This window comes from Homo sapiens, chromosome 14, assembly GCF_000001405.40.
Source record: "Homo sapiens chromosome 14, GRCh38.p14 Primary Assembly".
Lineage (NCBI taxonomy): Eukaryota > Metazoa > Chordata > Mammalia > Primates > Hominidae > Homo > Homo sapiens.
Genome location: NC_000014.9, coordinates 29381996 through 29395893, shown reverse-complemented (window position 1 = coordinate 29395893; position 13898 = coordinate 29381996). Strand labels below are relative to the sequence as shown.

The following is a 13898-nucleotide window of genomic DNA, read 5'->3' as shown; positions in this document are numbered from 1 at the left end:
TTTAAAAATAGGACTGTTTATTAGAACTCTATAACCTTAAATTTGTAAGGAACTCGAAATTGTCTTTGAAGCACAGTGATTTAAATATTGGATAGCAATAAGTGTAGAAGCCCAAATATATGCTTCAGTTGGTCACTAAATTAATCTCTAAACTTTAAAACAAACAGGTGATAAAGGTAGACAAATTAGAGTTATTTTGTAAAGAAAAGAGAAATCTGAGGGACATTAAGTGATCTCAAATAAATTGGTGATATAAGTAGTTTCTTCTTCCATTAAGGAAATGATGAATACCGTATAATTTGGCATCCAAACTGGGATATGTTTGAAAGTGAATGAAGCCTATTAGTAATTAAACAGGCATAAAGGCATAAAGTCAAAATAGGCATAAAGCAGGATATATAGTTACCATAAGAATTATTTCTCCATTTATTAATTCAACAGACACTTTGCTAAGTAATTAGGTAAAAAAATGAAGAAGATAAATTCCTGTCCCCAAGATTAAGACCATGTAGGTGAAACATATATGCTTTTATTAGGAACTAAGATAAAACTCTTTGTAAGGAGCACAAAAGAAAGGTTTCTATCTCTTAAACATGATGGGCAAAGATACTGTTAAGTCTTTAAAAATCCATAGAGTTGAGAATAACACTCTCACTCCCATTTGACAGCTGGGGAAACTGAGGCTCATGCTACTCAGCAGGCTAATAGCAGATTTGAGGCTAAAGCATATGGCTCCTTGAGTTCCCGTCTATAACTGTTCATTCCACTATGTTATCCTTACGGGAATTGCCAGAAGGAAAAGATATGAAATGCTAGAGATTTGGTTTACTTTTCTGTGGATACAAAGGATAGCGTGAAACTTATTTGTGATTTATTTTCCTCCCAATGAGAGAGAAGATCTAAATGGCCCAACTTAGCCACTTGTAACCTGCTTTTTAAAGCTTTGAGATATCGTTTTTTTTTTGTTTTTTTTTTTTTTGGAAGACGCTAACACAAATTTTTCTTGTGAGTCAAATCTCATGACAAGGGGAATTGCAATTTGCATACTGCATTACACTGAGGTAACCGAGTCTTTCACTATACTGCATTAGAATTCGAATTTTATTATATACAAGTATAGCAAAAGCAGACTCAACTGTGTATACTTAACTGAAGTCCATTATGAAAATATTTTTCAGAACATGTTTTATTATATCTTAGTAACCTACTTGCTAGCAGGATGTGCTAGCCCATAATATCTAGGGTGAGCGTGCCATCATGTAGGAATAAACTCACTTAGGCACACATAAAGTTGTCAAGCTATTCTGCCATTCATTATTTATCCACTGCTACTCATTTCATTATTTGTTTAGTTAACTCTTTTTTTAAGTCATTCATAATATAACCATTAAATCAATCAAACTAATCTATCAATCAAATCAATCAAACAACACTAATACCTGAACCCTGTTTTTAGTATCACTTCTTGTTGTGATTTTAGTATAAAAATATTAAGTCTTGGAGATGGCTTATCAGTTCAGTGTGTTTATTTGGAAGATAAAATTTTGAAGATAAAAAATGGTAATTATAAAAAAGTAATAAAATGTACTGTCTTTGAGGAGGAAAGTGCAGCACTTAGACAAGACAATAGCCTACGTTCTCTGACTGATAGGAGGATATCACATTAGATGAAAATGATAAGATTTAGTAGACTGAAGAATAACTTCCCCTTGACAGTGCCCTGACCCTTGACCTGTGTCCTGACTCTTGTTGGCTTCACTAACACAGGGCAATTGTCACAGGTGTAGGATAAAAGACATTTCTGTAGAAGCTACCAACAGTTAGAGATTTATTTCTTTTGATTATCACTAATGTGCTGTTGGGATAAAACCGTAAGTTGTGACCTTCTCTGAGCTATAAGGACATAAAAATTTACTCACAAGAAAGCAAAATTCTAAATGCAAAGAGCTTTCTTTATTGTTTGGCTGGAAGAGCGCTATGTAACAGAGAAGGTACATGCATCGAGGCAAAATGATGGCAAATGTGTTATTGTCATTACCCTGAAAACGTGTTTCAAACATAATTGTGATACAGATCTAATAAAGAATATTCCATTTATCCCTGCATTTTTATAATTCTTAGTAAACTCTTACCATGTCATACCCTGGAAGTTTGTCCTGTTCTGAAATTATTCTTTTGATTTATATGCTAATCATCATTTAAAAAAATCAGTTCTTTGACTTTTATTTAAATTTTCTGAAAGTGGTAGCTTTGTGAGTACTTACGGATGATGTGGTAACAATTGTGATTTCTCATGAAAGTTAATGCCTCCTGCTGTAAGAAAATATATTGTATACTCCTTTTTAAGTAACACAAGCAAGAAATTCAGAAAATACAGTGAAGCACAATGAGTTATGTGAATCCATGTTATAAGAGAAGAATATTGCAAGGGAAAAACAAATAACTGTGACAACCATTAAAGTAAGTAAATCCATGATTGAAAAGGAAAAAATACCTGCAGAAGAATGAATTTTACAGGTAAAATGAAAATGACTTCACAATTCATTAAAATAAAGTCAAAGCAGCAACCTGATAGTGTTTCCCAATGTTTTATCATGAAGGAAATGGAGTCAAGTTTTTGAACACTTGACATGATAAAGTGATGTATTTCATTATTCTGTTTAGGGGGCGAGGGGGATGTAACACAAGAATCATCCAAATGTTTGTCACTTAATGTAAAAAAAACCGTAACAATTTCCTTGCCATAATAGATTTCCAGGACCCAATTGCTATTCAAAACTGTGTGAAAGGCATAAAATACTTTTAAATTCATTGAGGGTTCTTATTCAGGTCATAGGTCTTGCCCTTCAACATTTTTTATCCACAGCATGTTTTGATGACACAAAATTGGTATATCTAAGCTTTAGGATACTCAGTCAAGGAAAATACAAAGATTACGTTTATCATAAAGTGATTCTATAGGTAAACTACTTCAACTGATTTAGTAAAGGTGTAGCTAAACCCATTTGTTTCCAAAATATCACACTTTCTTTTTATTAAATCATGAAAATAAGGGATTATAATCATGTAACTTATTGTCATGCATACTTGCTAAAATAATGCCTTCTTCCCAGACTACCATCGTTGCAAATGTGATGAGATCATCAGGTAACAGAGTAGGATATGAAGGCTTAGCGTGCTGTGTTGTTAGCACATTAAAAAAAGAAATTGCTGGGATAATTAACAACTACCTATTTGTCTGTGGGATGCATTCATTATGGCTCTACAAATTGGAGGTCTCCAAAATCTGTGCAATAAAATTTACTCTTTGTTCGCGAAGTTCCCCTTGGATTTGGGGAAAATTCTGGTTTGCTGTGTCTATTGTAATTGTGACAGGCAGTTGACATGTCTCATAGTCTAAATGTAGTGGCAAGCAGGGGGTGGTACAATGATGAAAAAACTGCCATTCATTCTTGTGCAAAGGAAAGGTGTTTCTTAGCATATTCCAACCTATGTTCAGACTAGAGTTGGGTCTTTGGGGTTGAAGGTCAAATCTGTGAGGTCAAAGCTATTTCTTGTCAATCTTCGTTCACTAATGACACATGAATTGGAAATTAGAACAAAGTAAGTAAAACGAATAGCCAGAAGGTGAGTGTCTGTTTTATTACTCAGAAGAGCTGGGAAATCTGGCCAATTGTTGCCCTATGTGGCTTGAATGACAGTTGTTAAGTTGAAAAAGGGACAGTGTGATGGGAATGCCACTTTAAATCTCAATTACCTCCTCCACTCCAATCAGCTTGGTAGAGCTTTAATGAAGTGCAATTCTCTGTCCTTTTCCTCATACTTCTATCTCTAGAATAAGCCTCACATTCAAGTTTGACAGCAGTACAATCAGTTTTCCATTCATCACTGGCCCTGTTTTAACCCTGCTGAAAAAGGGCCTAATGTACGTGGCAGTGATGGCAATTAGGCAGAAAAGTAATATTAGAAACAGACAAAAGCCTGAGTCTTTTAGCATTACAGGTGTTTTTTTTTTTTTTTAGCCCGTTCTAGACATAAAGGAATAGGCAGTGTTGTTAAGTTCCCTTCTTCAGTCTTCTCTTAAGCTGAAAGTCCAACGATTTCAAGATTCAATTAATTAGAGACATGGAGAGCCAAAGTACAAGGTAAAAGCTAAGTTCTTTCTAACTGAAGACACACTTAGTAATTGGCCCCTTATTCAAATGGATATCTTCTGGGTGTATGTTTAATAAGGTTGATAAAAACTCGTCATTTCCTCATTAGGATAGCACATGAATACACTCTGTATGTAGAAAAGAAATCTTAAAGAGAACAAACAGGAAAATATCAATCTGTTAAATATAGGAATGTAAAACATAAAAATTGAAAAGCCTGAGAACTATAACTTTGCAGGATGGTGGGGGGGGGGTGGGTATGTTAAATGCATTGTGTGTGTGTGTCTGCACGCGCGAATGAATGAGTGTGTAAGCTGAGAATTTTTTTTTAAGACAAGTCTTGGCTCTTCAATCAGTTTATCTAGGAATGTAAAATATTTAAGCATTTGAGTTTTATAACCTGGATCAACGGTGTTTACTATGACTTAAAAAAAAAACACCAAGATTGATGACACATTTAAATGGCTTTCTCATATGGAAACAAAAGCAAGGTTTCCAAATCTATACATTTGTGTCTGCATATGTAAGTATCCATGTAATAATCATGCATGTATCTTTACACAGAAAAGTCACATATATGTGTTTAGGTACCCACAGTGTATTCTTTCATCTAATTCTATTTGTAAATGTGTCCATACAATGTGTGAAATCTTAGGAAAGAGAAAAGTTCATATATTTTTGTGCATGCATTTAATTGTTATATATGTTTTCCTAACGGTTCTTTTTATGCCAATTTAAAAAATGTCAGCCAGGTTGGGGTGTTTTTTTGTTTTGTTTTGTTTGATAGATTCCACAGGAACATGTGGCATCGGTGTAAGGATCTTGTTTAAGAGAATGGAGGCTTGGAGGAAAAGAAAAAAAAAACAGATGCAGCAATTAGGCGGCTCTTGCTGCTCATTGGGGAGGTGACACAAGTGGGTGATAGTGGCTTTCACCTCTCACACTCCCTTCTCTCCTGCCTGATTCCTAGAACAATCCCTGTCAGAAACACTCTTTGAAAAAGGCTGCATTAGACAATGGCTCTTCACCCTTATTTTACGCTTTAAGTAGTGGAGCAGAATGCTGTAAGGGGCTGAAAACAAGGCGTAATCTGAGAAAGACGCGCAGGCATTGTTATAACTGTGAAAACCAGAAGAGCCCCTTTCAGAGCCGTGACTGAAAGTGCTCGGAAGACCTTTAGTCCTTTGCACTCTCCCAATCACCAATTAGACAAACATTAACATCAATTAAGCTGTTATACGGCACAGGTTCCATATAATTACCTTAATGGGTTGACGCTTTCTTTAGCAGCAATTTCTTAAACAAACTTCATCTTTTGTGCAACAGGCTAAGAAAATTTTCAGCAGGGAGCATTTCCTTTTGTCAAGTTTTCTAAAGAGACAGCTGAATTGTTCTATTTAACAACAAACACCTTCACTAAGGACCCTCGTCTTGTCCCCGTTCCCACCACATTTGACTACTAGGCTCAAAGCTTATTAACCATCAGAGACAAAAAAACGGACTGGCCAGGGGAGCCCAGACACATGCAGGGCGGGCAGTACACAAAGGACCAGTGAGTCTGGCACCGGTTTGCAAGGAGACCCTCGGAGAAAGCACCAATTGAATTAGTTGCCTATTTAGTATCCAAAGCGCCAGATCCGTCCTTACCAAAAGCACAAAGAAAATGAAATAGAAAAACAGGATCTTGCTCATAAAACAAGACAAATCTGTCTAATTTATTTTGTACCAGTAAGTGCTAATTAAATGCAAGCTACTCAGATTCTTCCTGTTCCTGCCTCACCTAATTCGCTTAGAATCACGACAATGCCAGTCTGATTTTTCCCCCTGTTTAACAAACATTCATTTGAAATGTACTCAAATACAGCTATAAAAATACAACCCTTATATCACTTCTATTTTTACTTTATATAAAGTCCATGTGTTTTTACTCTGTTGTGAAATTATTTGGTGGGGGGAGCTCTTGGCAGAAACAAGTCCTTAAACTATCCTTGTGCATCATAATGAATAAACAACTTGAGATGCATATAATGAACTATAATTGTCCCCCCCTCACAGGGTTGGAGTAATGTATGTAACCAAATTTCACAGCAATTCATTAAAAGTCAGAAGCCTGACTCTTCTATGTACAGTTTTTAAAGCAGAACATGGTTAAAAAATAAAATTAAAAAATATAAAATATGCACTAAATACTTCTAGCAAACCAAGGAATGTTTTCTCTCTTTCTCTCTCTCTCTCTTCCGCTCTCTCCTTCACATTCTTACTGCTCATTTTCACATACCTGATTATAACAATAACCTTGGGAGCAGGCAATTCATTTTACATCTTTAAGGTCAGCGCTTGGGCTCCAAAGACAAGTGTTTGCTCCATTTAGTCCTGCCCTAGTGAACCCCCAACTCCTCTTTGGGTCAAAAGCTCAAGACCACAAAATTAAAAGATGATGATGAACTTATGTTTAGATTTTGACCGCAGGCCACTGCCACCCATGGCCAGAGGACTTTATAGGGGATGAATTCCAGACACAGAAAGATATGCAATTACAAAATAATTCTTCTCAACTGTATTGCCAAAAATTAGCATTTAAAAAATATGTATATAACTGAGGTTAATTAATCTACAATATCAAATTGGTAACCTATTTCCTGAAAAGTTTTATGGCTGTAAAATAAAATTATGGTAACCTTACCGAAAGTTCTCCCTTAGTAAATTTATATAGAAAGTGATGTTTTTCATTCCAATATTTGTCTATTATTTATTAGAAATTAGTCTTTTTTACTAAATTTATACTTTATAGTTAAAAAACATAATTTGAGCCTTCTTGGATTACTAACTGCCTTGATGCCTCATGACACTACTTTAAATATAAAACTGTATTGCTCCTATTTTTTTTCATTGGTTATTTCTGTCTGCTCCAGCACAAATACAGCTACAAATTGGGAATACCACACATAAATAGTGGGAAGCCCAAGTAAAGAGTTTCCATCGCTGAATTTTCTCTGATTGGAGCTCAGCCACTCATGATATAGCAAGAACATCTAAGATTAAATCAGGAAAGGCCTGAAGAAGAAGAGATTGTGGGGGATATCCTTTTTAACATTTACTTTATTATCGAGGGATAATTAATCTTTCCAAAATAGATAACAAATTAGAGTCACAAAAATGATTTCTTTGTAAGCATCATGTGAGAATTATACAAATTTATATCCTTCTTAAAATTTTACTTATGGCAGATATAATTGGGTATAATGAGGACAAACTCATCCCAGGTGGCAAAGTCACCTCTGTAACCACAAAGAAAATGTGCGTGGAATCTGAGATTCCTTTCTCTAATTTCCAGCATTAAGGATGAATCTGTGATGTATGAATGGATTTTTCCCCCATTCAACACATCAGGCAAAGATCTGAATAAAGTTAATGTTCGCATTTTGACACCCATATCAAACTGAAAACACCTCAATCAACTGTTGGATGGATTTGGCATAATTATTGATACACTTTGCAGGATTTAAAGAGTAAGGATTCAGTGCTCACATACCACATTTGAAATGAACACAACTTATCAAGTAGAGTTCTGACATGTGTGACTCTTAGTATCATTTTGGAAGTGAAATAACCTGTCAAATTTTAAAATGTGTTAACAACTGGATGGTTAAATGGCAGGGACATAAAGAAAGGACATGGGCTTGGTTTGAGATCTTGTTCTGGAGTAGAGTCACTGACTGCCAGCCTAGAAGCAATCACAACAAAAGTTTCCCCCCAGGGGTTCTGAACAAAAATTCTATAGTTGAATAAATAAACTACTACACAGTTATATTATCTTAACTAGCATCTGCAATCTTCCTTACAATAGCTATTTATTGATGTCTTTCCAAATGCATTAGAAGTGGCAGATGATTTATTTTGTCTTTGAAAAGTACTTATAACCATTCACTCATTCAACAAATATTTAAGTTTCCACTATGTTCCAGGCATTCTTTTCTAAGTACATTATCAAAGTCAAATAGTACCAACTGCCTAATGTTCTTATATTGGAGATATCTTCACTTGAAATGGGTTAAGGCAATTTATAGAGAAAGCACTTACCAAAAAAATTTACTTTTCTCAGACTGTAAAATTCTTCACCATATTTAATTTATGTCTGGCACCTGACACATAGTAGGTGCTTCAAATAGGATGCTCTGTTAGTTTCTCTATATTCCAACCCTAACTGATTTTTTGTGAGTGCAAAGTGATCAAGCAAAAAGGAATCCACTGACCACTGCTACTGTTCAGCTTCACTCGTCGCATTGCCATCTATGGCAGTGACCCTTTTTGTTTTATTTCAAAACATCTTTTCCTTATTCTTTCTGTAACGTTCATTCTGAAAAGAAGTGGGGGAGGCAGTGCATGTAAGGTAGGGTGGATGAGTGGTGTTGGGAGATGCTTAGTATTTATGTATTTTTGAAGTATTTTAAATGAGTTTATGTCTGTGCTTGTGTTACACATCTGAATAAACTGGAGTCTCCCAAAAGTAGAGTTAGAAATTTTGACTCTTCAAGGAAAAAATAACAGAATTGGTAGCGGTGAAACCTAGGCTGGATACAGTTTCTCTTTTGAGAACAGTCAGTCAACACCCATGCTGCTGAGCATCCATGGGACCGAACAAAGACTCTTGGTACCATTGGAAGAGATGTGGATGTTTAAGATACAAGAATGATTGAAATTTTCTTCTGAAGGAATTCAGAACCTGGGGTCTGGAATATTAATACCATAAGACATTTGTATCATATTCCTTGACATTTTTTCTGCTTATTAGGATGTTTTGAGGACATTTTGACCATCAGTATATGCTGCAAGTTGGTGTTTGAATCCACTATGAAAAACTGATTTCTTTGATTTGTAATTCCTTAAAAATAGATAACAATCATTATATGCCATTTATCTAGAGGAAAATAAGGCCTGAGATAGTTATCTAAGGACCAAAAATAATTCCATGCTAAAACTCATTCTACCAAAGCTCTATCTATCATCTATCTGTCTGTCTGTCTATCTATCTATCTATCTATCTATCTATCTATCTATCTATCTATCTATCTATCTTATATATCTGCCTGTCTACCTACCTATCCATGTATCTACTTATAATAAAAATATACCCCCATGAACATTAATACAATAAAATGCATTCTTCATCAAACATAATTATAGATTGCAATCATTCAATATGTGGTATATATACATCCATACACTGACAAATGCAAAGCGGCAATATTACTAATGACATTTGGAAATGCTAATATATTTCTAGCACTTCAAATATTCTGCATACATAGATATAAAGGGGCAAGTCCTTACAACCTCTTCGAGGAAAGTTAGCATTTTTATTCAAAACATTGAGAGTTAAGTGAAAAGGCAAAGCCTTCTGGCAATAGGCATACAAATGAATATCTCCTCTGAAATTCCTTTCTCTGTATTTTACCATCCAAAAAAGAGAAGGGTCTTACTGCAAATGTTACTTTTTCAAGCTACTTGAGCCTATCTATAGGTGTAAATCATTTCTATGATCCCCAAACCAAATACATTTTATAATCCGTTTCATCTTTACCCAATGTCTTCTACAGGAGATAAACTATGTAAAGAGGGACCAGTCAGTGTATTAGCTTTGGACTACACTTCCGGTTTTTAACCTATAATAGAATTATTTTATGTTTTACTTCCAAACATGTATGACTTTCCACTCTGAGTAAAAATTTAATGAAAACTTGGGGAGACATATTTTAAGAAAATACTTTAAAATTATGCTTCATCTTGCTACTGTGGTATCTAAAGCCCAAGCACTATTGAAATCAATTCTTTGATGATCAGTTCTGGGAAGTTTTGAACTTTTCTCCAAAGTGCAAACGTGTTTCTGTTCTTAAATGGAGTGCTGCCAGTGTGCTAAGTACTCTTTCATACTCATAATTTTTTTCAAGTCTTTATTCAGTTATTTAAACTTGAGCCTTTGGATGTCTGGGGGTCAATACATTTCACCTGATTTAGTGAGTTCCCATTTAGTTAACCTGGTATGGCCTACATTCCTGAGAGTTTCTAGAGCTACTATGTTGTGTATAATCTTCATAATAGTTCAGCCTGGTTAACAAACACTATTTCTGCCTTGTTTATCCTAGTCTATAGGAGAGGCCAAAGCTTTTCACTCTAACTGTGGTAAGTTTGCTCCTCTTTTGCAGGTGGTGGTGTAAACAGAAAAGATCAGGGTGTGTCCTGGGCCATGTCCTTCCTTAGTGCCTCTCCTCCTTTTTTTTTGACAAAGGAGTGACAAGAGCAGAGGAGACTTGAGGCATGTTAGTGCAAGAGAATATGAACCAGGATGGGGATGATGTGAGCAGGGACGATAAAACAATAATAGGAAAGTGAAATGAGGGAATACTGGAATATACAATAAAAAAAATGGCACAACCAAAAAGAGGGCCTAAGCGTTTGTACATACAGCTTGTTTGTTTTGCTTTTCAAAAGGTGTTAGGAACAAAGTACAGTGGGTCAATTAGAGGTATCCCAGATCTTACAAAGGAAAAAAAAGAGGTAGGGGGAAAGAACTCGCCTTAGTAGCCACCCCCTGCCCTCTTTATTTTGGTACAATGCCTCAGGAAATGATTATGACACAGAGACCTTGCTTTTTATAAATGCATCATCTTTTTAATATAAATATTAACTACATTTGGCGTTTTGGGAGTCACACAATTAGCAAATTAGTCATTGACTAAAGCTATTAATCTAGGTTTTATAACACTTTCCCCACCTTAATTTTAGAATATTACATGCAAGGGGAAAAATCGCCTTCTTTTTTATCACATTCATTGAAATACCTTCTCTTAATGGTAGGCTCTAAAGTTATAGTGGCAGTTAGTTCTGTTATCAGAATATCAGCACATTGAATGAAATTTTGAAAATTACAAAGACTGCACAGGCATATAGTGGAATCGATCATTCCCTCTACATGCTAAATGCACCCTCATTTGAATCTTATGCATTCCCTTTAATATACCCTCCCTTTCAATTCAATTCATTGCATTTTTTACAAGTATGAGATGGAAATTAGAAAGTTCCTCCAAGGCTTCATATCTTTTGTGTGCAAGACTTATGAGGAAGAGAAATTTTTGCTATTCTTTTATTTATAAAATTTAGTGAATTGAGATAATACCCTAAGACATAAAACAAGCTGTTCATTTGTACTTACATGTGCAAGTATGAAAGACAATATCCATGTCATTAATCTTCTACTTAATATCACCTTAAGTGAAAATCTAATTGTATGAGTCCAGAACTGCAACATAATATTATGAAGACAAGTGCATATATATTCCTTAATGTTCTAGTAAGAGCTTTAAAGGTTTATATAACTTGGAATCACCATTTTGAATATTACTGGTAAAATTATGAAAAGTAGTTTTAGGATCAAAACACAATGGCACAATATTCATTTTAATTCCCATGTTTAAAGTAACTTAATTATAACGAGATGTACAATTTGCTGTCTGTATCCATGGATTCAGCATCCGAGGATTCAACCAACCTCAGAAGGAAAATATTCCGGGAAAAACTCAATAAGAAATAACAACACAACTATAATAATACAAAGAATACAGTGTAACAATGATTTGCATAGCATTTGCATTGCATTAGGTATTATAAATAATCTAGACATGATTTAAAGTGTACAGGAGGATATCCATAGGTTATATGCAAACACTGCGCAACTCTATATAAGAAACTTGAGCATCCACAGATTTTGATAAAGGCAGGGGTTCTGGAACCAATCCCTGGTGGATACTGAGGGACAACTGTACTCCCTAAATACAACATTTCAAATATGGCATTCAGAGGGGCCTAAATGCTGTGCTGCATCTTTTTGGATCATCCATGTTGAAAATTTACCAAGGGACTGTCACCTTGTGGTTTTTGGCTAAGAAATCAGGTTATATAAAGCTGAAACAGTGGCCATTTTTATTTTAATCCATTTCTTCTTGACTTTCGCAACTTTCCCATTGGAATAAAAGAAACGCAACTGCTCTCCAGCAAATCCAAGAGCAGTTAGCCATTCTCTGCCAGAGGTAGTCGCCATCCATTACCAGTGCCTAGGGATACTCAAGAATGGCAGTGTATGCCATTCCTGGACAACAGGAGGGGTGATTGAAAACTGTCTAGTGTTTTGTCCATCATACCCATTAAGAGAGTTGTGTAATGGGATAACATTTTTTTTTTAATTTGAGTATTTAGCTCTTGGAGTCACCATGGATTGGTACTGAGACCTTGAATAAAGTCCTCCTCTTATAGAGGAGCTGGCACTGTGTTAAATAGTCATATAAATTCATGCATTTCCATCTGTTTCTGCAGATAAGGGTGTTTCTTTACTCGTCAAGTCATTAATCTTCTACTTAATATCACACTTAAGCCAAAACCTAATTATATGAGTCCAGAACCACAGCATAATATTATAAAGACAAGTGCATATATATTCCTTAATGTTGTAGTGAGAGCTTTAAAGGTTTATATAACTTGAAATCACCATTTTGAATATTATTGGTAAAATTATGAAAAAGAGTTTTAGTATGAAAACAAAATGGCATGTTAATTTCATAGGTAAATCTTGCAACTAAATTTAATGTTATCCATTTCAATAGCTGTGGGTTATTATACAGTTTAATTCAATTATTCTTGATTAAATAGAGTTAATCCATTGTCAGGATTGATTAACATAATTCTGGCAATTTGCAGAGGATAGATATGTTAAAGATATATAGTAAGAAATATTTTATTTAACATATGTTTATACTAGCTGAGTTTCAGAACTTAAAGATTATAATTTACTTTGCTCTGCCAGTGCATGCACACACACACACACACACACACACGCATGCACACATACACAAACACTCATGTGCACACCCACACCCACACACCCTGTGGTTAGTTTATTCCTTGCTACTTTTAACAATCAGTTACTGCTTTGGTGAAAGCCTAAAGCTTAATCCATTAAGAGCCATTCAGAACAAAACAAACAAACAAAGCTTTAACCACTTCAGTGACAACAGTGCAGCACCAACAAGGAGACTTCTTAGAAAACCCTAGCAATTTTAGGATCAATAGCCTCACATTAGATGCTCTTAAGTGATGAAAGCTAGAAAATTTGTGCTGCCAGGTTTTAGAGAAAACGCAAAACACAAAAAAAAGGTTGGGAAAAGATAATTTAATAAGTTTAGTTTGGAAATACCCATGCAGTTTAGAGGGCTAACTTAAGTCCCGTCAGTAGTTACGATGAAAACAAACTAATTTAAACATCACGTTGGGCTGAAAACTTTACCTATGCATCCTGCAAATGGAACTGTTAAAATATCTTTTAGACTCTCTCCAAGTTCCACTACTTAGGGCTTTCTTATTATTTCTTCTAATTAGTGTAAGTGAAATCTTTGGGGTGTATATATACATATATGTATGTATATATGTATAAAAATTACAAATATTTCCTTGAAAACAAGTCTAAAGTATTTAGGAGAACTTTACAATCCACTTAATTCAGGGCTACAGTTTGAACAATAAAACCAACAAATACATTTATATATGAGAGGAGCAAAAACAAACATTTTTTTCCACAAGATTAAAAGCCTGTTCATTTCCTTTAAGAATTATTCTATTGTATATTATCTTTTGTGAAAAAATCCATTAGATTCTTTTATACATCCTCAAATCTTAAACAACACACCACTGCTGCAG

At 34.8% G+C, this 13898-nt stretch overlaps 1 long non-coding RNA gene across 3 annotated transcripts in view, besides 3 other annotated features; it reads left to right on the top strand.

The window, feature by feature from the left end:
- Nucleotides 2752-4571: an enhancer, noted in NCBI's record as "VISTA enhancer hs342". NCBI's record gives its function as "enhancer in: forebrain[4/7]" and the evidence as "EXISTENCE:transgenic organism evidence [ECO:0001131][PMID:17130149]".
- Nucleotides 2752-7170: a biological region, named in NCBI's record as "VISTA enhancers hs342 and hs1523".
- LOC102724934 (uncharacterized) overlaps nt 3840-13898 on the top strand; it is a 181069-nt gene continuing 171010 nt past the window's right edge. For 2 of the 3 annotated variants that reach the window (XR_001750707.2, XR_001750708.2), the window contains exon 1: nt 3851-4145. This is a non-coding gene — a long non-coding RNA (uncharacterized LOC102724934). Of the gene's footprint in view, nt 4146-13898 lie in introns of all 3 variants that reach the window. The other variant, XR_943701.3, reaches the window with a different exon arrangement.
- Nucleotides 4552-7170: an enhancer, noted in NCBI's record as "VISTA enhancer hs1523". NCBI's record gives its function as "enhancer in: midbrain (mesencephalon)[11/13] | forebrain[12/13]" and the evidence as "EXISTENCE:transgenic organism evidence [ECO:0001131][PMID:17130149]".